At 41.3% G+C, this 27659-nt stretch overlaps 1 protein-coding gene and 1 pseudogene across 4 annotated transcripts in view; both read left to right on the top strand.

The window, feature by feature from the left end:
- NOX1 (NADPH oxidase 1) overlaps positions 1 to 26472 on the top strand; it is a 31036-nt gene extending 4564 nt beyond the window's left edge. Inside the window, exons 3-13 of one of the 4 annotated variants that reach the window (NM_007052.5) lie at positions 6201 to 6311; positions 6553 to 6637; positions 6976 to 7127; positions 7223 to 7404; positions 7493 to 7625; positions 18471 to 18563; positions 19410 to 19645; positions 19862 to 20024; positions 20370 to 20516; positions 21042 to 21166; positions 25718 to 26472. In NM_007052.5, coding sequence (NP_008983.2) covers positions 6201 to 6311; positions 6553 to 6637; positions 6976 to 7127; positions 7223 to 7404; positions 7493 to 7625; positions 18471 to 18563; positions 19410 to 19645; positions 19862 to 20024; positions 20370 to 20516; positions 21042 to 21166; positions 25718 to 25844 — 1554 coding nt within the window. In that variant the 3' untranslated portion in view covers positions 25845 to 26472. Of the gene's footprint in view, positions 1 to 6200; positions 6312 to 6344; positions 6452 to 6552; positions 6638 to 6975; positions 7128 to 7222; positions 7405 to 7492; positions 7626 to 18470; positions 18564 to 19409; positions 19646 to 19861; positions 20025 to 20369; positions 20517 to 21041; positions 21167 to 25717 lie in introns of those variants that run through there. The other 3 variants (XM_017029407.3, NM_001271815.2, NM_013955.3) reach the window with 3 other exon arrangements.
- HNRNPA1P26 (heterogeneous nuclear ribonucleoprotein A1 pseudogene 26) lies at positions 13355 to 15223 on the top strand (annotated as a pseudogene).

Below are 27659 nucleotides of genomic sequence, written 5' to 3'. Positions count from 1 at the left end.
CCACAGCCAATATCATACTGAATGGGCAAAAACTGGAAGCATTCCCTTTGAAAACTGGCACAAGACAGGGATGCCCTCTCTCACCGCTCCTATTCAACATAGTGTTGGAAGTTCTGGCCAGGGCAATTAGGCAGGAGAAGGAAATAAAGGGTATTCAATTAGGAAAAGAGGAAGTCAAATTGTCCCTGTTTGCAGATGACATGATTGTATATCTAGAAAACCCCATCGTCTCAGCCCAAAATCTCCTTAAGCTAATAAGCAACTTCAGCAAAGTCTCAGGATACAAAATCAATGTACAGAAATCACAAGCATTCTTATACACCAACAACAGACAAACAGAGAGCCAAATCATGAGTGAACTCCCATTCACAATTGCTTCAAAGAGAATAAAATACCTAGGAATCCAACTTACAAGGGATGTGAAGGACCTCTTCAAGGAGAACTACAAACCGCTGCTCAAGGAAATAAAAGAGGATACAAACAAATGGAAGAACATTCCATACTCATGGATAGGAAGAATCAATATCGTGAAAATGGCCATACTGCCCAAGGTAATTTACAGATTCAATGCCATCCCCATCAAGCTACCAATGCCTTTCTTCACAGAATTGGAAAAAACTACTTCAAAGTTCATATGGAACCAAAAAAGAGCCCGCATCGCCAAGTCAATCCTAAGCCAAAAGAACAAAGCTGGAGGCATCACACTACCTCACTTCAAACTATACTACAAGGCTACAGTAACCAAAACAGCATGGTACTGGTACCAAAACAGAGATATATATCAATGGAACAGAACAGAGCCCTCAGAAATAATGCCGCATATCTACAACTATCTGATCTTTGACAAACCTGAGAAAAACAAGCAATGGGGAAAGGATTCCCTATTTAATAAATGGTGCTGGGAAAACTGGCTAGCCATATGTAGAAAGCTGCAACTGGATCCCTTCCTTACACCTTATACAAAAATCAATTCAAGATGGATTAATGCTCCTGCCCCTATTTCAACCAAAGCAGACTATATCTATCTATGAACACCTGCTTACAATTTTAAGAAAGAGTTTGGTTTTTTTTTAAAAAAAAGGAAAGTAAAAAAGAAAAAACAAACACAACTTGAAAACACTGCTGTCATGGAAACATACCTCTCTATCAAATAGGAGGGATACTTAGGGGAGTCTCATGGGTGCTACAGAATTCAAGGCCTGCAGAAAGGAGGGCTCAGGTCAAGGTTACAGAACCTGAGAAGCTTGGGGAAGTGGCAGATCAAAAACAGAAGAGGGAGGGAGGGAGTGGGTAGGGCACAGGGGTGTGGAGGTGACCAGGAGGAAGCACGGAGTTGAGGATGGTTCTCTCACAGGCTGATGAACCCGGATGCTGCCTGGTTAGAAGAGCATATTTGACTGCTACCTCTAGTCTATTATGCAATAACAGATAGAGGATTTTAAATCACTTTCATCTTGACAGTGTCATTTTTTCAGTAGCTTTTGGTATCTTCCCAATGTACATGTTTAAAGACAGCTTGTCCTTTTAAAAAATGCTTTTTTCTCTCTCCATAATCAAAGAATCCATGTTGAGATCACAACTAATTTGAACGTTCTGTTCATGGTTTATTTCACCCTGCTGTTTTCCATTTTAAATGTTCATCCTTGATCCTTCTTTAGAAACTATAACTCCAAAGGAGGTATTAATTTGCTTTAAAAATAGCTTTTTACTAAGAGAATGATGCAATAAATGTGACTAGTTATTAACAGCTTGATTACTACATGACCAAAATGTCAGCAGCACAAAAATAAATTATGCTGATGTCCCATGGACATTTTTTTTTCAAAATTATTTAAAAATTGTTTACATATGTAGGGGGTATAAGTGCAGGTCTCTTTCTTTCCTTCTTTCTTTTTTCTCTTTCTTCCTTTCTTTATTCTTCCTTCCTTTTCTTTCTCTTTCTTCTCTCTCTCTTTCTTTCCTTCCTTCCTTCCTTCTTTCCTTCTCTCTTTCTCTCTCTCTTTCTTCTTTTCTTTTCCTTCCTTCCTTCCTTCTTTCTTTCTTTGTTTTCATTCTTTTTATTTTGAGACAGGGTCTTTCTCTGTTACCCAGGCTGGCATGCAGTGGCATGATCATGGTTCACTGCAGCCTCGACTCTCCCAGGCTTCAGCTATCTTCCCACCTCAGCCTCCTGATTAGCTGGGACCACAGGTGTGCGCCACCAAGCCTGGCTAATTAATATGCCATAATTTATTTAAACATTCCACAGTCATTAAAACATTTACCATCACTGCATAACTGCATAGAGCTCTCAGCCTTTTAAGAGAATAACAATTCATTGCATTGATATGCCATAATTTATTTAAACATTCCACAGGTTATTTCTTAAATTCATGCTCACCTTGGGAAAATACAGGGAACAATTTGATTCACTATGAAGTAGAGCAGATAAGCAGCAGAGGAAGAAGTTTAAATCCATAATTTAAAAACATTTTTTTGCCAGGCGCTGTGGCTCACGCCTGTAATCCCAGCACTTTGGGAGGCCGAGGCGGGCGGATCACGAGGTCAGGAGATCGAGACCACGGTGAAACCCCATCTCTACTAAAAATACAAAAAATTAGCCAGGCGTGGTGGCGAGCGCCTGTAGTCCCAGCTACTCGGGAGACTGAGGCAGAAGAATGGCGTGAACCCAGAAGGCGGAGCTTGCAGTGAGCCGAGATCGCGCCACTGCACTCCAGCCTGGGCGACAGAGCCAGACTCTGTCTCAAAAATAAATACATAAATAAATAAATACTTTTTTTTTGTAGACATGAGGTCTCCGTGTTGCTCAGGCTAGTCTCAAAACTCCTGGGCTCAAGTAATATTCCCACCTCGGCCTCCCAAAGGCCGGGTATTACAGGTGTGAGCGACCATGCCCAGTCACAAGTGTAGGTTTCTTACATGCATATATTGCATAGTGATGAAGTCTGGGTTTTTAGTTACCTATCACCTGAATAGTGAACATTGTACCCAGTGGGTCATTTTTCAACCCTCACTCCCCTCCCACCCTCCCACATTTTGTAGTCTCCAATATCCATTATTCCACTCTGTAGGACATTTCATTTTTTAAATCCCTATTTTAAAACCTTAATTATCAATAATGCTGCTTCCAATGAGATCAAAGCACATATTAGTTTGGTGCAAAAATTATTGCTATTAAAACTGTTTGCAAAAACCGCAATTACTTTTGCACCAAGCGAATAGAAGTGTATAAGTAAAATGTGAAAATCTCCCTCCCATCCTACTCCCCAGAGATACACACACACACACACACACACACACACACACAGGGACACACACACTGACATAAGCTCACAAATGTATCAGACACGCAGGTTTTGTTTTTGAGGTGGGTACTATCGTTTATTCACTTTTTCATTTTCATATAGTAAAATTTGCTGTTTTTTGGTATACAGTTCTATGAGTTTGGGTAAACACATATAATAAGACACACAGCTTTTTGTTTTAACCAAAAAAGGGATCACTTTGTAGATATTGGCTGGAAATTGCTTATGTTAATATATCTCAGATATCTTTCTTTCTTTTTTTTTTTTTTGAGATGGAGTCTCACTCTGTCGCCCAGCCTGGAGTGCAGTGGCGCAATCTCTGCTCACTGCAACCTCCACCTCCTGGGATCAAGCGATTTTCCTGCCTCAGTCTCCCAAGTAGCAGGGGTTACATGTGCGAACTTTCATGGCTGGCTAATTTTTTGTATTTTTAGTAGAGACGGGGTTTCACCATGTTGGCCAGGCTGATCTCAAACTCCTGACCTCAAGTGATCCACCCGCTTTGGTCTCCCAAAGTGCTAGGATTACAGGCGTAAGCCACTGCTCCCAGCCTCAGATATCTTTCCATGTGAGTGCCTAACCAGTGGTGTGCTGAAACCAGCTCATACCAGGTTGCAATGCCAGTTGCGTGCATCTCTTCCCAACTCTGCATTCAGTGGTGTTCAATGACATCAAGTTAGTGTCTTGAAATCTGGCATGGTGGGAGTATTTACATCATCAAAATTGGCAAATGCTGGAAATCAGGAATCCCCTTCCTCCCAAAAAGCTAGTCATTAAAACATTTACCATCACTGCATCACTGCATAGAGCTCTCAGCCTTTTAAGAGAATAACAATTCATTGCATTGATATGCCATAATTTATTGAAACATTCCACAGGTTATTTCTTAAATTCATGCTCTGCTCACCTTGGGAAAATACAGATAACAATTTGATTCGCTATGAAGTAGAGCAGATAAGCAGCAGAGGAAGAAGTTTAAATCCATAGTCAATTATGCATTAATGACAGCAGGAGTTCAATTATAACACCAGTGAGTGGAGATCTAGAGAAATGAACATACATTGGCATATTTAAATGTGCTGCAACGAGGAAAAAATGTTTTCTCTAAAAAGAATTCATCCTATACAGATAGCCACCACAGAATATGGAACTGTGAAATTATAGTCCTATATTTTCAATTCACTTGCCAATTTTAGCTTTAAGAAATCTCTGTGATTCAAATAAGCAAGTAGTGGGAACCAATGTGGAAATGCAGGATCTCTGAGATGAGCAGAGGAAATTTACTCAGAAGTGGAACAGGCTGTCTGTACCAAAAACAGTCAGGGTGTGAGTCAGCAGAGGGAGAAAACACAGGTCATGTGGAAAAGCCAGAAATGGAAAACAGTAGGGCAGCTTTTGTTCACCACATTGCCTGACATTCTTAGCCATTATAGATACTAGGCAGATCTTGTCCTGGCTTATTAAACTAACATCACATGTTCCTGGGTTTACGATATAAGGAAAAATCAATTTTGTGCTTCATAGATAATTACAAAAAGGCCAAGAAATTGTTAACCTTAACCCATACCCCTCCTTTTAGAAAGTCTTTGACAGGCACACAATGTAAGGCTGGCCAGTCAGCAGAAGTGCAACAAAAATTGCCTGGCTGCTGCTGTCAGCTCCTCTGCTACAACATTGTCACACTCCATAGCAGTCCCAAGTTCATGAAGTAGACTCAGAGACCGGTTGTACAGAGTTGAGGAGAGAAGTCAGATTTAGCTGCCATGGAGTTAAGCATATTCTGTCCAGCTTATACCTAGTAAGGCCTGTTTTTTGGGGCTAAATGCTTCTTTGAAGCATTGATTCCTTGTCTCCTTTGCTAGCAGCTTCTACTGCTGGATCAGGTTGTTCTTGATTTATGCTGCCTGGCCACCCAAGGAAATCAGCTTAAAATTTTGCTCCTCTGAAGTTCTCCCTTCTCAAATATCTACCTGTTTAAAAATTTTGCTCCAAGAGGTTTGCTAGTCTTGACTAAATTTATTCAATTTTTAAAGACATCTTAAATAGAATTGGTTAAAAATTTTAAGTGTTTTTATTATACAACTCTTATGTGCTTATAACTGCAATATTAGAAAATACAGAAAAGAATAAAATACCATCTGTAATTGTACCTCTAAGTATGAGCTTTATTTAAAATGCAAATAAAGGTATATATGATCCTTGGCCAGGCATGGTGGCTCACATCTGTAATCCCAGCACTTTGGGAGGCCAAAGCAGGCAGATCTCTTGAGCTCAGGAGTTCCAGACCAGCCTGGGCAACATGGCAAAACCCTGTCTCTACCAAAAATACAAAAATTGGCTGGGTATGGTGGTGCACGCCTGTAGTCCCAGCTACTCAGGAGGCTGAGGTGGGAGGATGGCTTGAGCCCAGGAGGCAGAGGATGCAGTGAGCCGATATCTCGCCACTGCACTCCAGCCTGGGCAATAGTGCCAGACCTTGTCTCAAAAAGAAAAATCTATATCTATATCTATATCTATATCTATATCTGATCCTTAGGACTCTTTTACAAGTGACAAATAACAAAATTATAATAAAGAGTATTAAGTAAAATGTTACAGCCATAGAATGTTTTGCTAACATGTAATCATTAAATCCTATTCTCTTTCATGTTAATAAATGTAGTCAAACATTTCCAAACTACTGTCATGGGAATTTCTCAACTCAATATTAAATTCAGTATGTTTTATGTATTTTGCAAACAGAGCCTGGCCTGATGGTGTTAGCTACTGAGAGAGAGGAGAGGCAGCTGTAGCCCTGTTCATTTGCAGGCCTCAGATGAGTGGGCTGGGTCAGTTGCTCACGTGCTAGATGGTGAAATGAAGCAGCTGATGGTCTCTTTTTCTCCTCTGCTGTAGTCAACATTGGCCTGTGCCCGAGCGTCTGCTCTCTGCTTGAATTTTAACAGCACGCTGATCCTGCTTCCTGTGTGTCGCAATCTGCTGTCCTTCCTGAGGGGCACCTGCTCAGTGAGTCCCAACCACTCCTAAGTCAACTTTCACATTAAAGAAGGAGACCCCAGACTCCTCAGTAGGACAGTCCAACACCATGCTCCTAGGAATGGAAGCTAGAAGTCTCCTTTGGTAGCTAAGGGGGTGGGTTAGTGCGGGTGAGTATTGGCATGCTATATGCAAGACATATTGGTTATGGGTTAGTGAATTTAATAAAGCTGGCTGGCGACATCTGACCATGATCATTCTACATTTGTAGTTTTGCAGCCGCACACTGAGAAAGCAATTGGATCACAACCTCACCTTCCACAAGCTGGTGGCCTATATGATCTGCCTACATACAGGTAACTCAGGCAATCCATGAATCTGCAGACTCCAGGGCATTCAGAATCTTGCTTCATTCATCCATCCATATGCACATTCAAAAAATATTTATCGAGCACTGGGCACTATTTGTCAGGCACTGTTCTTGGCCTGTTTTCATGGAGCTTAAGTTCTATTCCTTTGGGAACAGAGTAAATATAAAAAAGATCTCTCCGCAATCGAGGGTTTATTGGGCACCTTCTGTGCACTCAGCATTCTGCTAAGCACTATAATGTAGGATTCTTCTAGTCTAGTGGGGCACACCTGCCATGATGTTGCTGAGATGCCTCTTAACATTTCTTTTCATCTTTCCATTTAGCTATTCACATCATTGCACACCTGTTTAACTTTGACTGCTATAGCAGAAGCCGACAGGCCACAGATGGCTCCCTTGCCTCCATTCTCTCCAGCCTATCTCATGATGAGAAAAAGGGGGGTTCTTGGCTAAATCCCATCCAGTCCCGAAACACGGTGAGTTGACTTTCTAGCAAAGCATCTGAGATCTGGTCATGAGCAGGAAGTGCACAGGTGGACATTGTGTCAGGCTGACATTTCTCCTTTCACAGACAGTGGAGTATGTGACATTCACCAGCATTGCTGGTCTCACTGGAGTGATCATGACAATAGCCTTGATTCTCATGGTAACTTCAGCTACTGAGTTCATCCGGAGGAGTTATTTTGAAGTCTTCTGGTATACTCACCACCTTTTTATCTTCTATATCCTTGGCTTAGGGATTCACGGCATTGGGTAAGATCCTCGAACCCTCATTCTCATGCCCCAGCCCCTGACCTTGCATAATTCTTTGTCCCAAACCATCCTTCTTTGTCTATTTCAGTGGAATTGTCCGGGGTCAAACAGAGGAGAGCATGAATGAGAGTCATCCTCGCAAGTGTGCAGAGTCTTTTGAGATGTGGGATGATCGTGACTCCCACTGTAGGCGCCCTAAGTTTGAAGGGCATCCCCCTGAGGTAAGAGCCCTACGGGCAAGGACAGACTCTTGTTAGGAGCTGTTACTGTTATTATTCTTATTATTACTCTTATTGTTATTATCATCATTATTATTAGTTCAGTCCTGTGCTGGGTCTTATGAAGGATATCTATGGGGTTCCTACCTTTAAGAAACTTCCAGTATCACTGGCAACAGGCAATTACAAGGGGATCTTGAAGAGAAAAAACTAATAGTTCTTGCATGTTGTGAGACCCTCTGCAAAGGTAATAATGATAGCCCACATTATTAATTGTGTTTATCATCTGCCAGCCTTGCTGCATAATATGGATTATTTCATTTATATATAGCAATAGCCTATGAGATATTACTTCTTTTTTGTCTAAATTTTGAAACAAAAGGACAGGATTCCAAGAGATTAAGTAAACTGACAAGCTCTTACAGTAAGTAGTGGAGCTTGAATACAAACCCAGGCCTTTTGGATTCCAAAGGTTTGAACTCTTGACCACTATACTGTCCCAAAGCTCAGCCGTGATATTCCAGTCAAATTCTGGGGGGAAATAAAGCATTCTTGAAGTGGGCTTTCTTTGGTGTTCTAAGAATATGCTTGGAAATTTTTGTTAGATACTGGGTGATTATGAAACTGTGTTCTAGGGAACTCAAGGTGTGCCCCAGGGTAATTCTTGCGGATATTATTATTTACCTTTGCTTGCTCACAAAATAGGTTATATTGAGGAGTAAATGGAAGGGGAAGGTTGATTTGTGGTGCCTCAGAGTATTCTGAGAATGATTAAGGTCTTTAAATCAGATTCAGGATTAAGAGCAATAGCTTAGTTCTCATCTGGAACAGGAAAAATATATAAAACAAAAAGTCTTCTAAAGTTGGCATTTTAATTCAGCAGGAAAAGGATAAATGAATAATTTTTAGCACAATAAGATCATCATCTGGGAAAAAAGCTATATCTTCATTTCACGCCTTGCACTAAAATATGAATCGAGGATACATGAAGCAAAAAAACCATAAAAGCACCTTAAGACCACGTGGGAAGTTTTTTTCTAATACTGAAGTGGAGGAACATGTTTCTAAATAAGATAAACCACCCTGAAGCCATAAAAGAAGAGATAATTTTGCATGGCAAAAGAAATCCCCATCGGGCCGGGCACGGTGGCTCACACCTGTAATCCCAGCAATTTGGGAGGCTGAGGTGGGTGGATTGCTTGAGCCCAGGAGTTTGAGACCAGCCTGGGCAACATGGCAAAACCCCATCTCTACAAAAAATACAAAAATTAGTTGGGCATGGTGGTGTGGAGGGTGAGGTGAAAGGATTACTTGAGCCTGGGAGGCTGAGGCTGCAGTGAGCTGTAATCATGCCACTGCACTCCAGCCTGGGTGACAGTGAGATCCTGTGTCAAAATAAACAAACAAATAAACAAAAATTCCCATTGTAAATAAAGATAGACAAAAAATTACCAAGTAGGAAAAGTATTTACAACTCACAGGGCATGGACTAATTTTCTAATATATAAATAACTCCTAGAAATCAATAAGAAAAAGCCTAATAACATGATAAAAAGAGAAACAGAAGATGTGAACAGAATAATCTCAGAAATGGAGATATATCCTTATCTTAAATATATGAAATGATGCTTAATGTTATTCATAATGGAAAAAAATGCCAAATAAAACTACAAGAATCTGTTAACCTAACAGATTAGCAAAGATTAAAAAACCTGCTAATGTATGGTGCTGGCAAGTGTGGAAAAATGCTCTTATGCATTGCTGGTGAGAGTGTAAACCTATACAACTGCTTGTAGAGAGTGATTTGGCAGTAGCAATTAAGGTTTAAAACTCGACTTCCAATTTATTCCACAAATATACTTAAATATGTGTTAAATTACATGCATTAAGTTATTCATTACAGCATTGTTGAATAGAAAAAAAGACTGGAAACAAGTGTCCATCAGTGGGGAACTAGTTACATTTTGGGACTTTCATGCAGTGGAATAGTCTGCAACCAGTAAAACGAAAGAGACAGTACCATAGACACTAATAGGGACCAGTCTCTAAGATGTTAAATGCAAAAGGCAGGGCAGTGTGTAGAGTCTCCTATCATTTGCATTGAAAAGATCATTTAAATGCATGTTCTCCAGAAGAATTCACAAAATAATAACATTACCTCTGGGGATCTGGAGGGGCAGGAGGATTTGCTTTTTACTATTGTACTGTTGTACTTTCAGATTTTGTACCATATACATATATTACCTATTTAGAAAGTAATTTTCTAATAAGATAGATAGAATGCTAGCTACACAAATAAAGAATAGACCACTAGCTACACTAATAAAGAAAAAAGAGAGACAATCCAAAAAACACAATCAGAAATGGCAAAGAGGACATTATGACTGACCGCACAGAAATTAAAAAAAAAAAAACCCTCAGAGACTACTATGAACATCTCTATGCACACAAACTAAAAAAAAAAACAACCTAGAAGAAATGGATAAATTCCTGGACACATACAACCTCGCAAGACCAGACCACGAAGAAATTTAATCCCTGAGCAGACCAATATTGAGTTCCAAAACTGAATCAGTAATAAAAAAGCCTACAACTAAAAAATGCCCAGGACCAGATAGATTCACAGCCAAATTCTTCCAGATGTACAAAGAAGATCTGGTACCATTCCTACTGAAACTATTGCAAAAAAATTGAGGAGGAGGGTCTCCTTCCTAACTCACTCTATGAGGCCAGCATCATCCTGATACCAAAACGTGGCAGAGATACAACGAAAAAAGAAAACTTCAGGCCAATATCCCTGATGATCATTCATTGATGAAAAAATCCTCGACAAAATACTGGCAAACTGAATCCAGCAGCACATCAAAAAGCTAATCCACCACGATCAAGTAGGCTTTATCCCTGGGATGCAAGTTTGGTTCAACATATGCAAATCAATAAATGTGATTCATCACATAAAGAGAACTAAAGACAAAAATCATATGATCATCTCAGTAGATACACAAAAGGCTTTCAATAAAATTCAACATTCCTTCATATGAAAAACTCTCAGCAAACTAGGCATTGCTGGAACATATTTCAAAATAACAAGAGCCATCTATGACAAACCCACAGCCAACATCATACTGAATGGGCAAAAGCTGGAGGCATTCCCCTTGAAAACTGGAAAAAGACAAGGATGCATTCTCTTACCACTCCTATTTAACATCGTGCTGGAAGTCCTGTCCAGAGCAATCAGGCAGGAGAAAGAAATAAAAGGCATCCAAATAGGAAGACAAAAAGTCAAACTATCCCTGTTTGCAGACAATATGATTCTATACCTAGAAAACCCCATAGTCTATGTCCAAAAGCTCCTAGATCTGATAAACAGCTTCAGCAAAGTTTCAGGATACAAAATCAATATACAAAAATCAGTAGCATTGCTATACCCCAACAACACCCAAGCTGAGAGCCAAATCAAGAATGCAATCCCATTCACAATAGCCACAAAAAAAATAAAATACCTAGGAATACAGCCAACTAGGGAGGTGAAAGATCTCTACAATGAGAGTTACAAAACACTGCTCAAAGAAATTAGAGATGACACAAACAAATGGAAAAACATTCCATACTAATGGATAGGAAGAATCAATATCATTAAAATGGCCCTACTGCCCAAATCAATTTACAGATTCAACACTATTCCTACCAAACTACCAATGACATTCTTCACAGAATAAGAAAAAAAAACTATTTCAAAATTCATATGAAACCAAAAAAGAGCCCAAATAGCCAAGGCAATCCTAAGCAAAAAGAACAAAGCTGGAGGCATCATGTTACCCAACTTCAAACTATACAAGGCTACAGCAACCAAAACAGCATAGTACTGGTATAAAAACAGACACACAGACTGATGGAACAGAATAGAGAGCCCAGAAATAATGTTGCATATCCATGACCATGTGATCTTTAACAAAGTCAACAAAAATAAGCAATGGGGAAAGGACTCTGTTCAATAGGTGGTGCTGGGATAACCGGCTAGCCATATGAAGAAGATTGAAACTGGACTCTTTCCTTACACCATATACAAAAACCAACTCAAAATGGATTAAAGACTTAAATGTAAAACCCCAAACTATAAACACCGTAGAAGACAACCACCCTGGAAGACAACCTAGGCAATACCATTCAGGACATAGGCCCTGGCAAAGATTTCATGATGAAGATACCAAAAGCAAATGCAACAAAAATAAAAATTGATGAATGGGATCTAATTAAACTAAAGAGCTTCTGCACAGCAAAAGCAACTACCAAGAGAGTAAACAAACAACCTACAGAATGGGAGAAAATATTTGCAAACTACACATCCGACAAAGGTCTAATATCTAGCATCTATAAGGAACCTAAACAAATTAACAACAACAACAAAAAAACACAAATTATCCCATAACAAAGTGTGCAAAGTCTCAAAAAAAAAAAAAAAGTGGGCAAAGGACATAAAGAAACACTTTTCAAAAGAAGACACACACGCAGCCAACAAGCATATGAAAAAATGCTCAACATCGCCGATCATTAGAGAAATGCAAATCCAAACCACAATGACACACCATCTCACGCCAGTCAGAATGGCTATTATTAAAAAGTCAAAAAATAACAGATGTTGGTGAGGTTGCAAGGAAAAGGGAGCACTTATACAGTGCTGGTGGAAATGTAAATTAGTTCAGCCATTGTGGAAAGCAGTGTGGTAATTCCTCAAAGAATTGAAAACAGATTACCGTTTGACCTAGCAATCCCATTACTGAGTATATACCCAAAGGAATATAAATCATTCTATGACAAAGACACATGCACTTGTGTGTTCATTGCAGCACTATTCAAAACTGCAGACATGGAATCCACCTAAATGCCCATCAATGGTAGACTGGATAAAGAAAATGTGGTACATATATACCATGGAATACTACGCAGCCATAAAAAATAACAAGATCATGTCCTTTGCAGCAAGATGGATGGAGCTGGAGGCCATTATCCTAAGCAAACTAATGTAGAAACAGAAAACCAAATATCACATGTTCTCATTTATAAGTGATAGCTAAACATTGAGTACATATGCACACAAAGAAGGGAATAACACACTGGGGCCTACTTGAGAATGGAGAAAGGGTGGAGAGAGAGGATCAAAAAACTATCTAATGGGTAGTAGGCTTATTACCTAGGTGATGAAATAATCTGTACACCAAACCCCTGTGACATGTAGTTTACCTGCAAACTGCACATGTACCTCTGAACCTAAAATAGAAGTTAAAAAAAAAAGTAATTTTGGGTGGGGCACAGTGGCTCATGCCTGTAATCCCAGCACTTTGGGAGGCTGAGGCAGGAGGATTGCTTGAGCTCAAGAGTTCGAGACCAATCTGAGCAACATAGGAAGACCTTGTCTCTACAGAATATTAAAAAATTAGCCGGGCATGGTGGTGCACGACTCTGGTTCCAGCTACATGGGAGGCTGAGATGGGAGGATCACTTGAGCCCAGGAGATTGAGGCTGCAGTGAGCTGTGATGGCACCACCGCACTCCAGCCTGGTTGACAGAGAAAGACCCCATCTCAAAAAAAAAAAGTAATTTTGGAAGGACATACCTGGGATATGTTAATAGCACATTTCATTTCTAAAGTCAGAGGAAATTATAAGATCATAACCAGGGATCTGTATTAGCGGACTAGTAGACAAGAGGACCTTAAAGATAGGGAGCTATTGCCTTTCCGCCCGTGTACGCCACTGAAGAAGCATCGTTAAAGTCTCTCTTCTCCCTTCCATCTTGTCTAAGTCAGAGTCTCCTAAAGAGCTCAAACAGCTGAGGAAGCTCTTCATTGGAGATTTGAGCTTTGAAACAACTGACGAGAGCCTGAGGAGCCATTATGAGTGATGGGGAATGCTCACAGACTGTGTGGTAATGAGAGATCCAAACACCAAGCGCTCCAGGGGCTGTGGGTTTGTCACATACGCCACTGTGGAGGAGGTGGATGCAGCCACGAACGCAAGGCCACACAAGGTGGATGGAAAAGTTGTGGAACCAAAGAGAACTGTCTCAAGAGAAGATTCTCAAAGACCAGGTGCCCACTTAACTGTGAAAAAGATATTTGTTGGTGGCATTAAAGAAGACACGGAAGAACATCACCTAAGAGATTACTTTGAACAGTTTGGAAAAATGGAAGTGATTGAAATCATGACTGAGGCAGTGGCAAGAAAAGGGGCTTTGCCTTTGTAACTTTTGACGACCATGACTCCGTGGATAAGATTGTCATTCCGAAATACCATACTGTGAATGGCCACAACTGTGAAGTTAGGAAAGCCCTGTCAAAGCAAGAGATGGCTAGTGCTTCATCCAGCCAAAGAGGTCGAAGTGGTCGTGGAGGTGGTTTTGGTGGGAATGAAAACTTTGGTTGTGGAGGAAACTTCAGTGGTCATGGTGGCTTTGGTGGCAGCCATGATGGTGGTGGATATGGTGGCAGTGGGGATGGCTATAATGGATTTGGTAATGATGGTGGTTATCCAGGAGGCGGCCCTGGTTACTCTGGAGGAAGCAGAGGCTATGGAAGTGGTGGACAGGGTTGTGGAAATCAGGACAGTGGCTATGGCAGGAGTGGCAGCTATGACAGCTGTAACAAGGGAGGCAGAGGCGGCTTTGGCAGTGGTAGTGGAAGCAATTTTGGAGGTGGTGGAAGCTACAATGATTTTGGCAATTACAACAATCAGTATTCAAATTTTGGACCCATGAAGGGAGGAAACTTTGGGGCAGACGCTCTGGCCCCTAGGGTGATGGAGGCCAATACTTTGCCAAACCACCAAACCACAGTGGCTATGGCGGTTCCAGTAGCAGCAGTAGCTATGGCAGTGGCAGAAGATGTTAATTGGGAATCAAAGCTTAGCAGGAGAGGAGAGCCAGAGAAGTGACAGAGAAGCTACAGGTTACAACAGATTCATGAACTCAGCCAAACACAGTGGTGGCAGGGCCTAGCTGCCACAAAGAAGACATGTTTTATACAAATACTCATGTTTATGGGCAAAAAAGTCAAGGACTGTATTTGTGACTAATTGTATAACAGGTTATTTTAGTTTCTGTTCTATGGAAAGTGTAAAGCATTCCAACAAAGGGTTTTAATGTAGATTTTTTTTGCACCCATGCAAAAAATTGCTATATGTGATAGTCTGATCATGACACTGAATAAATGTCTTTTTTTTTTAATGTGCTGTGTAAAGTTAGTCTACACTGAAGCCATCTTGGTAAATTTCCCCAACAGTGTGAAGTTAGCATTCCTTCAGGGTGATGCCAGGTTCTATTTGGAATTTATATACAACCTGCTTGGGTGGAGAAGCCATTGTCTTCAGAAACCTTGGTGTAATTGAATTGATAGTTACTGTTGTGACCTGAAGTTCACCATTAAAAGGGACTACCCAAGCAAAATCATGGAATTATTGGTTATAAAAATAATTGTTGGCACATCCTATGCAATATATCTACGTTGAATAATGGTACCAGATAAAATTATAGATGGGAATGAAGCTTGTGTATCATCCATTATCATGTGTAATCAATAAACAATTTAATTCTCTTGAAAAAAAAGATAGGGAGCTATTTAAAGATTATTAGGAAAGCTTACTAGCTAAGATGGTTAATACCTTGTCTTATCTTGCACATCAGCTTCTGTCTTTTTCTCATCTATTACCTGAGTTAAGTTATAGTTGGTCTATTTGGTATCCTTAAAACTTAGGGGTTGCTTTGGTTGGTCGTGTAATACTCTAAGAGAGAGAATACCAGTTTTGCCACCTGAATGTATTGCTTTGTTTCTTCCATAAACATTTAAAAAATACTCTCTCCATATTCACCCCATTTAAAAATTAGAAAAATAATATACATTTATTGTAGAAAGTTTGGAAAATACAAAAAATACTAGAAGTAAATAAAAAATTTCATAGAGTTCTACCACCTAGAGGAAATAATGTTTTTCCTTGATTGATATAATGGATGCTTTCCTTTGAAACATTTTTTTTTGTTTTGAGACAGTCTCCCTCTGTTACTCAGGCTAGAGTGCAGTGGTGTGATCTTGTCTCACTGCAACCTCTGCCTCCTGGGTTCAAGTGATTCTCCTGCCTCAGCTTCCCAAGTAGCTGGGACTACAGGCGCGCACCACCACGCCCTGCTAATTTTTGTATATTTAGTAGAGACGGGGTTTTGCCACGTTGACCAGACTGGTCTCGAACTCCTGACCTCAGGTGATCCACCTGCCTTGGCTTCCCAAAGTGTTGGGATTACAGGCGTGAGCCACCGCACCCGGCCTTGAAACATTTGTTTTAAAATAGTTGGCCAGGAGTGGTGGCTCATGCCTGTAATCCCAGCACTTTGGGAGGCTGAGGCAGGTGGATCATTCGAGGCCAGCAGTTCCAGACCAGCCTGGCCAGCATGGTGAATCTCCATCTCTACTGAAAATGCAAAAATTCGCCAGGTGTGGTGGTGCATGCCTGTAGTTTTAGCTAATTGGGAGGCTGAGGCAGGTGGATCATTCGAGGCCAGCAGTTCCAGACCAGCCTGGCCAGCATGGTGAATCCCCATCTCTACTGAAAATGCAAAAATTCGCCAGGTGTGGTGGTGCATGCCTGTAGTTTTAGCTACTTGGGAGGCTGAAGCAGGAGAGTTGCTTGAACCCGGGAGGCGGGGGTTGCAGTGAGCCGAGACTGTGTGACTGCACGGAGTGAGACTCTGTCAAAAAAAAAAAAGAAAGAAAGAAAGGAAGGACGCAAGGAAGAAAGCAAGGAAGGAAGGAAGGAAGAAAAGAAAGAAAGAAAGAAAGAAAGAAAGAAAGAAAGAGAAAGAGAGAGAAAGAAAGAAAGAAAGAAAGAAAGAAAGAAAGAAAGAAAGAAAGAAAGAAAGAAAGAAAGGAAGGAAGGAAGGAAGGAAAGAAAGAAAAAGAAAGAAAGAGAAAGAGAAGGAAAATATGTGTATGGTATATATACCATTTTAATCATTTCTTAAAGTAAACATTGTGGCCATTACTTTACTCGTGCATAATACTTTTTCACACCTTAATTATTTATCTTCATTTCCCAGAAGTGAAGTTCCAGGGTAAAAGAGAAGGAATGCTTTTGAGGCTATTGAGACATACTGCTCAACTGCTCTCTGGGAAGATGTTGCCAATTTGCATTTTCACCCCTGTGAAATGCATGTTCAATTTGCATGCCCACGTGAACACTCCCATTTCCCTGAATCCCAGTTAATGCTGGGCATTATTAATTAAAATTGTTTTTCAATTTGAGAGACTAAAATGGTATCTTGTTTTAATATTTATTACTCTGACTATTTCTGAGGCCAATATTTTTTTCACATTGTTATTATCCATTTCTTAAATATGTTTTTCCTCAAATTGAGCTGGGGAATTTTCTTCAAATAAGAAATAGCACTGAATTGCATAATGTTCACTCTGTTTGATTTGTCCCATCTCTGCCTCTTCCTTCCCTAGAGATACTCAAGGAAGTTATTTGCTTGCACCAGCTTAAGAAACCTCACTTCACACAGTCCCAATGTATCACACTTGAGCAACTGTGCAAGAAAGGACATAATTTAGTATTGCTAGGAAGTATATTTTTAGTAGTTCCTGTGCAGGTAGAAGCAAACTGCTGCTTTGCAAAGATCTCAGGGATAGAAAAGCTGCTTTATTTATTTATTTATTTTATTTATTTTGAGACGGAGTCTCACTCTGTCACCCAGGCTGGAATGCAGTGGCGCGACCTGGGCTCACTGCGACCTCCTGGGTTCGAGTGATTCTCCTTCCTCAGTCTCCCGAGTGTCTGGGATTACAGGCACCCACCACCACACTCGGCTAATTTTTGTATTTTTAGCAGAGATGGGGTTTCACCATGTTGGCCAGGCTGGTCTTGAACTCCTGATCTCAAGTGATCCACCCGCCTTGGCTTCCCAAGGTGCTGGGATTACAGGCGTGAGCCACTGCGCCTGGCCAAAAAGCTGCCTTTAAAAAAAATGTAGACAAGGTAAAAAAGATATTACTATGTTAAATGTTTAAGCACTTGAGAAAGGAGGTGATGGATAAGTACTGAGTTTTATGTACCAGTAGCATCAGTCACATACTTTCCCTTTTTTGTGTTTGTTTTGTTTTTAATCATCTGCCTCTATTTCACATCTACTTTCTCTGTTGGTTTTTTAGATTGGACAAGCTGTCCTCGAAGACAGTCTTAGATTCTTAAAATTAAATCTTATTTTATTTTTTTGGAGACAGTGTCTTGCTCTGTTGCCCAGGCTGGAGTGCAGTGGTGTGATCTCAGCTCACTGCAACCTCTGCTGCCTCCTGGGTTCAAGCGATTCTTATGCCTCAGCATCCCATGTGGCTGGAATTACAAGCATGCACCACCACGCGCAGCTAATTTTTTGTATTTTTAGTAGAGACAGGGTTTCGCTATGTTGCCCAGGCTAGGTCTCCAACTCCTGAGATCAGGCAGTCTGCCCGCCTCGGCCTCCTAAAGTGCTAGGATGAGCCACTGTGCCAGGCCTTAAAATTAAATTTTATATGTAATTTAAGAATAAGAATATTTACCATGTGTTCCATTTCTGTGCTTTTCTCCTGCTTCTTGGTCAGACTTGTAAATTTTCAGGAAATGGTCTGTTTTATGAATAACAGATTAGCAAACGAAACCATTGTCCTTTATTTTTTCTATTTCCATCTTCCAGATTTGGTGAAATTAGTAGCTTAAAAATGATACACATTGGAGAACTCAGTAAAGAATGAAGGATGAACTGCTACACAAATAAGTCCTAAACAAGAAATTAGTGTGTAATCTCATTCTTAACCCTGTCTCTGTGCAGTCTTGGAAGTGGATCCTTGCACCGGTCATTCTTTATATCTGTGAAAGGATCCTCCGGTTTTACCGCTCCCAGCAGAAGGTTGTGATTACCAAGGTAAAGAATATGCACTTTCCTCTTGCTGTGATAAGAGTTATCTTCTACCGGACTACAGAACTAAATTTTTATGTTGTCACCCTGAAAGAGGAACTTGGAAACTGGGCACAGTGGGTGGTAGTCCCAGCACTTTGGGAGGCCAAGGAGGGCAGATCTGTTGAGGTCAGGAGTTCGAGACCAGCCCGGCCAACATGGCGAAACCCCATCTCTAATAAAAAAAAAAAAATTAGCTGAGCGTGGTGGTGCCCACCTGTAATTCCAGCTACTTGGGAGGCTGAGGCGGGAGAATCGCTTGAACCCGGGAGGCAGAGGTTGCAGTGAGTTGAAATAGCGCCACTGCACTCCAGCCTGGGTGACAGAGAGAGGCTCTGTCTCAAAAAAAAAAGAAGAAGAACTTGGGTTTGGCATACCTCAGTTCCTCCAGCACTGGACAGAACTGGGAAAGAGGGGCTTGGCCGAAATCATCAGGATGAGTCTATATCAGAGGTTGCAAACAGGCAGCCTGGGCCAGAGCTAGTTCACAGCTATATTTTGTTTGGTGCACACAATGTTTGTTTATAAAGTTGAATTGGTTGCCAACATTTAAAAATCTGGATGGAAGCTTTCGTTTGATTTTTTAAAAGCTATTTCTTGCTTCTCTTGAAGAATCAGGAAACCTGATAACACTGTCATGGTTCCATATCGCAACCACTGTCTGGAGCTAAGTAGCTGCTGCCCTCTTTAGAGAGGACTTGTGTTTGTAGTTCACCACTGTCACCAGCCCTCCAGCTTCACTCATTTGCTTTATCTGCCTGTCCCTGTCGTCATTAGAGTTTGCTTTCTTTGGTCTATGTGCTTCATTCACAGGTTGTTATGCACCCATCCAAAGTTTTGGAATTGCAGATGAACAAGCGTGGCTTCAGCATGGAAGTGGGGCAGTATATCTTTGTTAATTGCCCCTCAATCTCTCTCCTGGAATGGCATCCTTTTACTTTGACCTCTGCTCCAGAGGAAGATTTCTTCTCCATTCATATCCGAGCAGCAGGGGACTGGACAGAAAATCTCATAAGGGCTTTCGAACAACAATATTCACCAATTCCCAGGTAGGTCCTTGAGACCAGGAGAGTCCCAGACCAGGATGCAGACTGGCAGAAAAGAGAAAGCAATTCTTCGTTGAATCTTAAGTTTGGTACAATAGAATAGGATTATAATAAATATGCAGAAGTCAGCCATGAGAACAACTATATTTCTGGGAGGATGTTTGAGGTTGGAGGTGGAGGGGAGTCTTCAGTTGCCCGTTATCTTCTGTCTTCTGCCAGGATTGAAGTGGATGGTCCCTTTGGCACAGCCAGTGAGGATGTTTTCCAGTATGAAGTGGCTGTGCTGGTTGGAGCAGGAATTGGGGTCACCCCCTTTGCTTCTATCTTGAAATCCATCTGGTACAAATTCCAGTGTGCAGACCACAACCTCAAAACAAAAAAGGTATAATCCCGTATATCACTTTTCTTCTGGCCTGAGTCTGACAAGTCTATTGCCTTCTTGGGCTAAGCTCTTTACAATTGATAAGGGAGCAACCTATCCCTGGAGTTATGAGAATAAGTGATCACTTCTCTTGGCCAGGACATCCACTTCTACAGATTTATCATAAGAACAGGGTCTTCTTTTCAATTTGGAGTTTAAGATCACCCTGACCAAAGATGTTGGAAGGCTCGTTCCTAAGGAAAATTGTCAGAACTCTGAACATTCCTGCTGCCTAAAGTTTGCGGCTCTATAAATGTGACTTTTAAGGTCACCTAATAAGGCTATGTTCTCTCTTGCTGATTTCAGATCTATTTCTACTGGATCTGCAGGGAGACAGGTGCCTTTTCCTGGTTCAACAACCTGTTGACTTCCCTGGAACAGGAGATGGAGGAATTAGGCAAAGTGGGTTTTCTAAACTACCGTCTCTTCCTCACCGGATGGGACAGCAATATTGTGAGTCCAAATAACACACTAATTCCCCTACTAAACATAAGACGAATGTCAGACAAAGGATAGTGCATATGGATTAGAAGTTATTTCTTATGATTTCCTACCTGCCCTCACACTCACACACAAGTTTAAAAGTGGTGGAAAGAAGAGGCAGCTATCAGGACTTGGTTTTTCTTTTCTTTCTTTCTTCTTTTTTTTTTCTTTTTGAGACAGAGTTTCACTCTTGTTGCACAGGCTGGAGTGCAATGGTGCGATCTTGGCTCACCACAACCTCTGCCTCCTGGGTTTAAGCAATTCTCCTGCCTTAGCCTCCCGAGTAACTGGGATTACAGGCATGCGCCACCATGCCCAGCTAATTTTGAATTTTTAGTAGAGATGGGGGTCTCACCATGTTGGTCAGGCTAGTCTCGAACTCCTGACCTCAGGTGATCCACCCACCTCGGCCTCCCAAAGTATTGGGATTACAGGCGTGAGCCACGCACCCAGCCTAGGACTTGGTTTTTCTAACTTTTATTCCTCTGAATCCAGGTTGGTCATGCAGCATTAAACTTTGACAAGGCCACTGACATCGTGACAGGTCTGAAACAGAAAACCTCCTTTGGGAGACCAATGTGGGACAATGAGTTTTCTACAATAGCTACCTCCCACCCCAAGTAAGTATATTTTCCTCTAGTAAGATGAGTTTACAGGGGCCGTGCGTGGTGGCTTACTGCCTGTAATCTCAGCACTTTGGGAGGCCGAAGTGGGTGGATCACCTGAGGTCAGGAGTTCGAGACCAGTCTGGCCAACTTGGCAAAACCCCGTCACTACTAAAAATACAAAAATTAGCTAGGCGTGGTGGCACATGCCTGTAATCCCAGCTACTTGGGAGGCTGAGGCAAGGAGAATTGCTTGAACCTGGGAGGCAGAGGTTGCAATGAGCTGAGATAGCGCCATTGCACTCCAGCCTGGGCAACAAGAGAGAAACTCTGTCTCAAAAGAAAAAAAAAAAGATGAGTGCGGAGTTAGGATTTAGGAAAGGTATTACAACATGTTGAACACTCTTAAGAAAAGATCTCTGGGGCAGAAATCTTTTGTGCCATTCTTAGATTCTTGGTGAAGACCGAGGAAATTTCATCTGGGGTTTTAGAAAAATAGGGTCATGATCTTGAAAATGATGAAAAGAGGTTTTTTTGCCCCAGCAAACTCCATTCAAACAGTGAGGCAAGTGGACCCACTTCTGATCTATACTACCAAACAAACTAGAGAACTGGAGCAATTCAAATGCATTTTTGCGGGGAGGGGACTCAATAATCTCTACTTAAAGTAACAAAGGTATTATCTAGTTTACTGGCCACCTGAGCTCAATCTTTCTGGAGGGTTTTGAGACATGTTACAGCACAAAAAATCCTGGTGCTATGAAATCAGCCATTCCAATGGGAAGGAGATGAAGCTGAGATTCCCTGAACAAGTAGGGAGGTGATGATCAATTCAATGCTACAAATATTCTTGATTACCTTTTTTTTTTTTTTTTTTTGAGATGGAGTTTCGCTCTTGTCGCCCAGGCTGGAGTGCAGTGGTGCGATCTCTGCTTGCTGCAATCTCCGAATCCCGGGTTCAAGCGATTCTCCTGCCTCAGCCTCCCATGTAGCTGGGATTACAGGTGCCCACCACCATGCCCAGCTAATTTGTTGTATTTTTAGTAGAGATGGTGTTTCACCACGTTGGTCAGGCTAATCTCGAACTCCTGACCTCAGGTGATCCACCTGCCTCAGCCCCCAAAAGTGCTGAGATTACAGGCATGATCCACCAAGCCCCGCCTTGGTTACCTTTTATAAGCTCAGCTCTCACCATTCTAGAAGCTTTGGAGGTTGAAAGAGAAATAGGATATGGTTCTTGCCCACAAGGAACATACATTTGAATAAGAGATGCACACAATCACCTCAAAGCAGAATAATGCACTCCGTGAAAGAGGTTCACGGATGCTGGAGGGAAGAAAAGTCTACGGCCACATGGGGTGATTAGGAAAGGCTTCAGGAAGGCAGTGGCTAGAGCACTTAGTGACTTGGATTCAGATGATCCTGGGTCCTCATGCTGGTTCTCTCTTTTTTTCTCGAGACACAGTCTTGCTTTGTCACCCAGGCTGGAGTGCAATGGTGCCATCTCGGCTCACTGCAACCTCCGCCTCCTGGGTTCAAGCAGTTCTCCTGCCTCAGCCTCCCGAGTAGCTGGGATTACAGGCATCCACCACCACATCCAGCTAATTTTTTGTATTTTTAGTAGAGATGGGGTTTCGCCATATTGGCCAGGCTGGTCTCGAACTCCTGACCTCAGGTGATTCACTCACCTCAGCCTCCCAAAGTGCTGGGATTACAGCATGAGCCACCATGCCCGGCCCTTATTCTGGTTCTGACACTTTCTAGTTATGAGACCTTGAACTTCTGAACTCTCTGATCTTGATTCCTCATCTGTAAGACAAGGGTCATATTAGTGAATGCCTGCTCTACTCACTTGCAGGGTTGTTATGACAATTAAGTGAGACAATATATGAAAAAATGCTTTGTAAATTTTAAAGCAGCATATAAGCATAAAAGATGCTAATTATCATGTTGAATGTAACTGAAGTTTTGAGAGAGTATGAGGTTGTCAGGAGAGAGAGAGAGAGGGAGGGAGAGAGAGAGACTAGCGAGGGACAGAGTACCAAGGAATGCTGCCTAGGTTATATGGGAAGGGAAAAAGACAAACCAGGGAAGAAATAGGAGTACACAGAGAAGTGGTGTCACAGAACCCAAGGGAGCAAATATTAGAGAAGCGTGGTCAATAGTGTTGGAAGAGTAGCAGGGTCAGGAAATGTTCATTTAGCTTAAGCATATTTATAGACAGAACAAGGACCAGTACATAAAATAAAATAAATACATGAAAGAGGGGAGAGGACTAAGATGGCCATAATAAAAGATGGACAATAGTATTGGCAAGGAAGTGGAGAAGTTGCAATCCTAGTACATTGCTTGTGGAAATGTGAAATGATACCACACTCGGGGAAAACTCTTTGGCAGTTCCTCAAAGTGTTAAACACAGTTTCCAGCTGGGCATGGTGGCTCGCGCCTGTAATCCCAGCACTTTGGGAGGCCAAGGCAGATGGATCACGAGGTCAGGAGTTCAAGACCAGCCTGGCCAACATAGTGAAACCTTGTCTCTACTAAAAATACAAAAAATTAGGCCGGGCGTGGTGGCTCATGCCTGTAATCCCAGCACTTTGGGAGGCCGAGGTGGGTGGATCACGAGGTCAGGAGATCGAGACCATCCTGGCTAACACGGTGAAACCCTGTCTTTACTAAACATACAAAAAAAAATTAGCCGGGTGCGGTGGCGGGCGCCTGTAGTCCCAGCTACTTGGGAAGCTGAGGCAGGAGAGTGGCGTGAACCCAGGAGGCAGAGCTTGCAGTGAGCCAAGATCGTGCCACTGCGCTCCAGCCTGGGCGACAGCGAGATTCCATTAAAAAAAAAAAAGGTGAAAAGAATTAGCTGGGCATGGTGGCGGGCACCTGTAATCCCAGCTACTAGGGAGGCTGAGGCAGGAGAATCGCTTGAACCCGGGAGGTGGAGGTTGCAGTGACCCCAGATCATACCATTGTACTCCAGCCCGGGTGACAGTGCAAGACTCTGTCTCAAAAAAAAAAAAAAAAAAAAAACACATAGTTTCCATATGACCCAGCAATCCCACTCCTTGTTATACACCCAAGAGAAATGAAAATATATGTCTACACAAAAACTTGTACATGATGTACATAGCAGCATTACTCATAATAGCCCCGAAGTGAAAACAAGCCAAGCATCCATCAATAGATGAATGGATGAAGCAAATGTAGTATATTCACATACTGGAATATTATTTAGCTATTAAAAAAAAAACAAAGTACTGAATCATGCTACAACATGGACAAATCTTGAAAACATCATGCTGAAAAACACCAGACACCAAAGGCCATGTATTGTATGATTCCACTTATGTGAAACATTCAGGATAGGCATACCCACAGAGACAGAAAGTAAAGTGATTGTCTTGGGTAGGACAGGGTAGTTGGGAGGAAATGAGGACTGCTAATGTGGATGGGGTTTCTTTGCGGATGATGAAAATGTTCTGGAATTAGATAGTGGTGATGGTTGCATAACTTTGTGGCTGTGCTAAAAAGCACAAATTGCACACTTCAAAGGGGCGAATTTTATGGTATAGAAACTATACCATAATTATATTTTTAAAAAAGAGGGGGAGAGAAAGGTATGAGAGAAGGAAGAAGACGGTGAGACCCAGAGCATAGTTGGAAAGATTAGCTTTGGCAAGAAAGAACACTACCTCTCCACTAGGAGAAATTTTGAGGTAGGGATAAGCTCACAGTGGATGGGTTTAATGGGAGCTAATACATATGTACTTGCTATGTGCCAGGCATTTTTCTAATTTATTTACATGTTCTTATTTAATCCTTAAAACAACCCTATGTGGTAAGTACTATTTTTATCCCCATTTTACAGGTGGGAAAGCTGAAACAGAGAGAGGTTAAGAAATTTTCCCTTGTCGGACATTGTGGCTCACGCCTGTAATCCCAGCACTTAGGGAGGCTGAGGCAGGCGGATCACTTGAGGTCAGGAGTTTGAGACCAGCCTGGCCAACATGGTGAAACCCCATCTCTAATAAAAATACAAAATTTAGCTGGGCATGCTGGTGCGTGCCTGTAGTCCCAGCTACTCAGGAGGCTGAGGCAGGAAAATTGCTTGAACCTGGGAGGTGGAGGTTGCAGTGAACCGAGATTGTGCCACTGCACTCCAGCTGGGGGACAGAGCAAGACTCCATCTCAAAAAAAGAAAAGAAAAAAGAAAAAAAGAAATGTGCCCAAAGTCCCACAGGTGGGATAAATGTCAGAGCTGAGATTTGAGCCCAGACAACCCAGACAGACTGGCTGCACAGTCTGGCACTTAGCCACTGCACTGTCTTATGTCTGTCATCTGTGTTCTCAAAACAGGGAAGGCTGAGTGCTGAGAGTGTTAAGGGCTGAGAGCATATTTGGGGTTTGTGCGCAGAAAAGGTTAAAAAACTACCATGAAGAACGTGGGAGTAAACAACCGAATTTTTATTCAAGGTTCTTGGAAGTAGTAGAGGCCTAACAGAGGCAGTTTCTCCATTCTGTCATTGCTGCATTCTAGCCCTTACTATTGTTCTGTTCCTACAGGTCTGTAGTGGGAGTTTTCTTATGTGGCCCTCGGACTTTGGCAAAGAGCCTGCGCAAATGCTGTCACCGATATTCCAGTCTGGATCCTAGAAAGGTTCAATTCTACTTCAACAAAGAAAATTTTTGAGTTATAGGAATAAGGACGGTAATCTGCATTTTGTCTCTTTGTATCTTCAGTAATTTACTTGGTCTCGTCAGGTTTGAGCAGTCACTTTAGGATAAGAATGTGCCTCTCAAGCCTTGACTCCCTGGTATTCTTTTTTTGATTGCATTCAACTTCGTTACTTGAGCTTCAGCAACTTAAGAACTTCTGAAGTTCTTAAAGTTCTGAAGTTCTTAAAGCCCATGGATCCTTTCTCAGAAAAATAACTGTAAATCTTTCTGGACAGCCATGACTGTAGCAAGGCTTGATAGCAGAGGTTTGGTGGTTCAGAGTTATACAACTAATCCCAGGTGATTTTATCAATTCCAGTGTTACCATCTCCTGAGTTTTGGTTTGTAATCTTTTGTCCCTCCCACCCCCACAGAAGATTTCTAAGTAGGGTGACTTTTTAAATAAAAATTTATTGAATAATTAATGATAAAACATAATAATAAACATAAATAATAAACAAAATTACCGAGAACCCCATCCCCATATAACACCAACAGTGTACATGTTTACTGTCACTTTTGATATGGTCTTATCCAGTGTGAACAGCAATTTATTCTTATTTTTGCTCATCAAAAAATAAAGGATTTTCTTCTTCACTTGATGAATGAGTCTTTTGTTACTTCTTTTTGGGCTCTCCATTTGGGAAAGAAAATCTAGAAAGTATGCTCATTGTAATTGAAATTGTATTATAATTGCAAGTCAGCTATACTGTCATCTTGTATTATTCTGTTAAAAGCGATTGTGAAAACTTGAACTCCATGTTAGGATGACTTATTTAGTCAAGAGGAGCTCTTTATCACTATTAAGGGAGTTTATTAATGTCTAGTTTAAAAAATAACAATTTATAATTTTCATAGATTTTTGTGGACTCCTACCTATATCGCTAAGGAATCATTCAGCTAATAACATAAGCAAAATGCCTTCATTCTCTATCAGAATGCTTTTTATTTCTGCCATCTACCCAACCTCGGCCTACAAGGACCACACTGGCTCTGGGATGTTAGTCGTCACAGTGAATCCCTAGAAGGAGAGAAGCCCAGGGCTCTTAAGAGAGAAACCTCACACTTCATTGTGCCCAGACAATTCAACTCATTATAGATTAGAAGAATGGTTGTACTGAATTAGCATTATATTATCTATTTTTTCTACCATTAAGTGACCACGAATGAACAAATGGTTGTTTCTAATAGTTTAGGAACCTCTACGGCTTGAGGGATAAAACTGTTTTTGGTTTTTTTTTGTCACTAGTCTGAGCACAATAAAGGTAGGTCATGAACTCATGGTGGCTAATCATGTTTCATTTATTACAACAGTAAAACAATACTGATGGTTGTTTACATAGGGAGGGATACCACTGCTGTTGCCAATTTGTTCACCCGGATTTCAGCTAATTCAGGTTTAATAAGGCTTTGGGAAAATGCACAATGAAACCTTGAAGACATGATTCTTATTAGACAACTACTGACCAAATGACAACTTCATCTTCAATGACCTTGATTTGGAATCTTGAAACTTACAACGAGTTCCTAATGAGAAAGGCATCACTCTTGGTCTCCATGTCTAAATATATTGACACACTCACTTCAAGATATGATGGCTGCCAAAATCAATATCCCAAGGCTTGAATATTTATGGGAGTAGGCATAAATTCGTGATTATATTCATGGTAATGAATATAATAAATCCTATGCATAGCCAACATCCAAGTTGAACTGGGGATGAGCAGGATACACAGAAAGCTCCTCACCTGCTTTGAGCAAGTTTTTCTTGCAAAGTTGTAATATGAAA

This window comes from Homo sapiens, chromosome X, assembly GCF_000001405.40.
Source record: "Homo sapiens chromosome X, GRCh38.p14 Primary Assembly".
Classification (NCBI taxonomy): Eukaryota; Metazoa; Chordata; class Mammalia; order Primates; family Hominidae; genus Homo; species Homo sapiens.
Note: the sequence above shows the minus strand (reverse complement) of the source record. Positions and strands in the feature narration are given on the sequence as shown.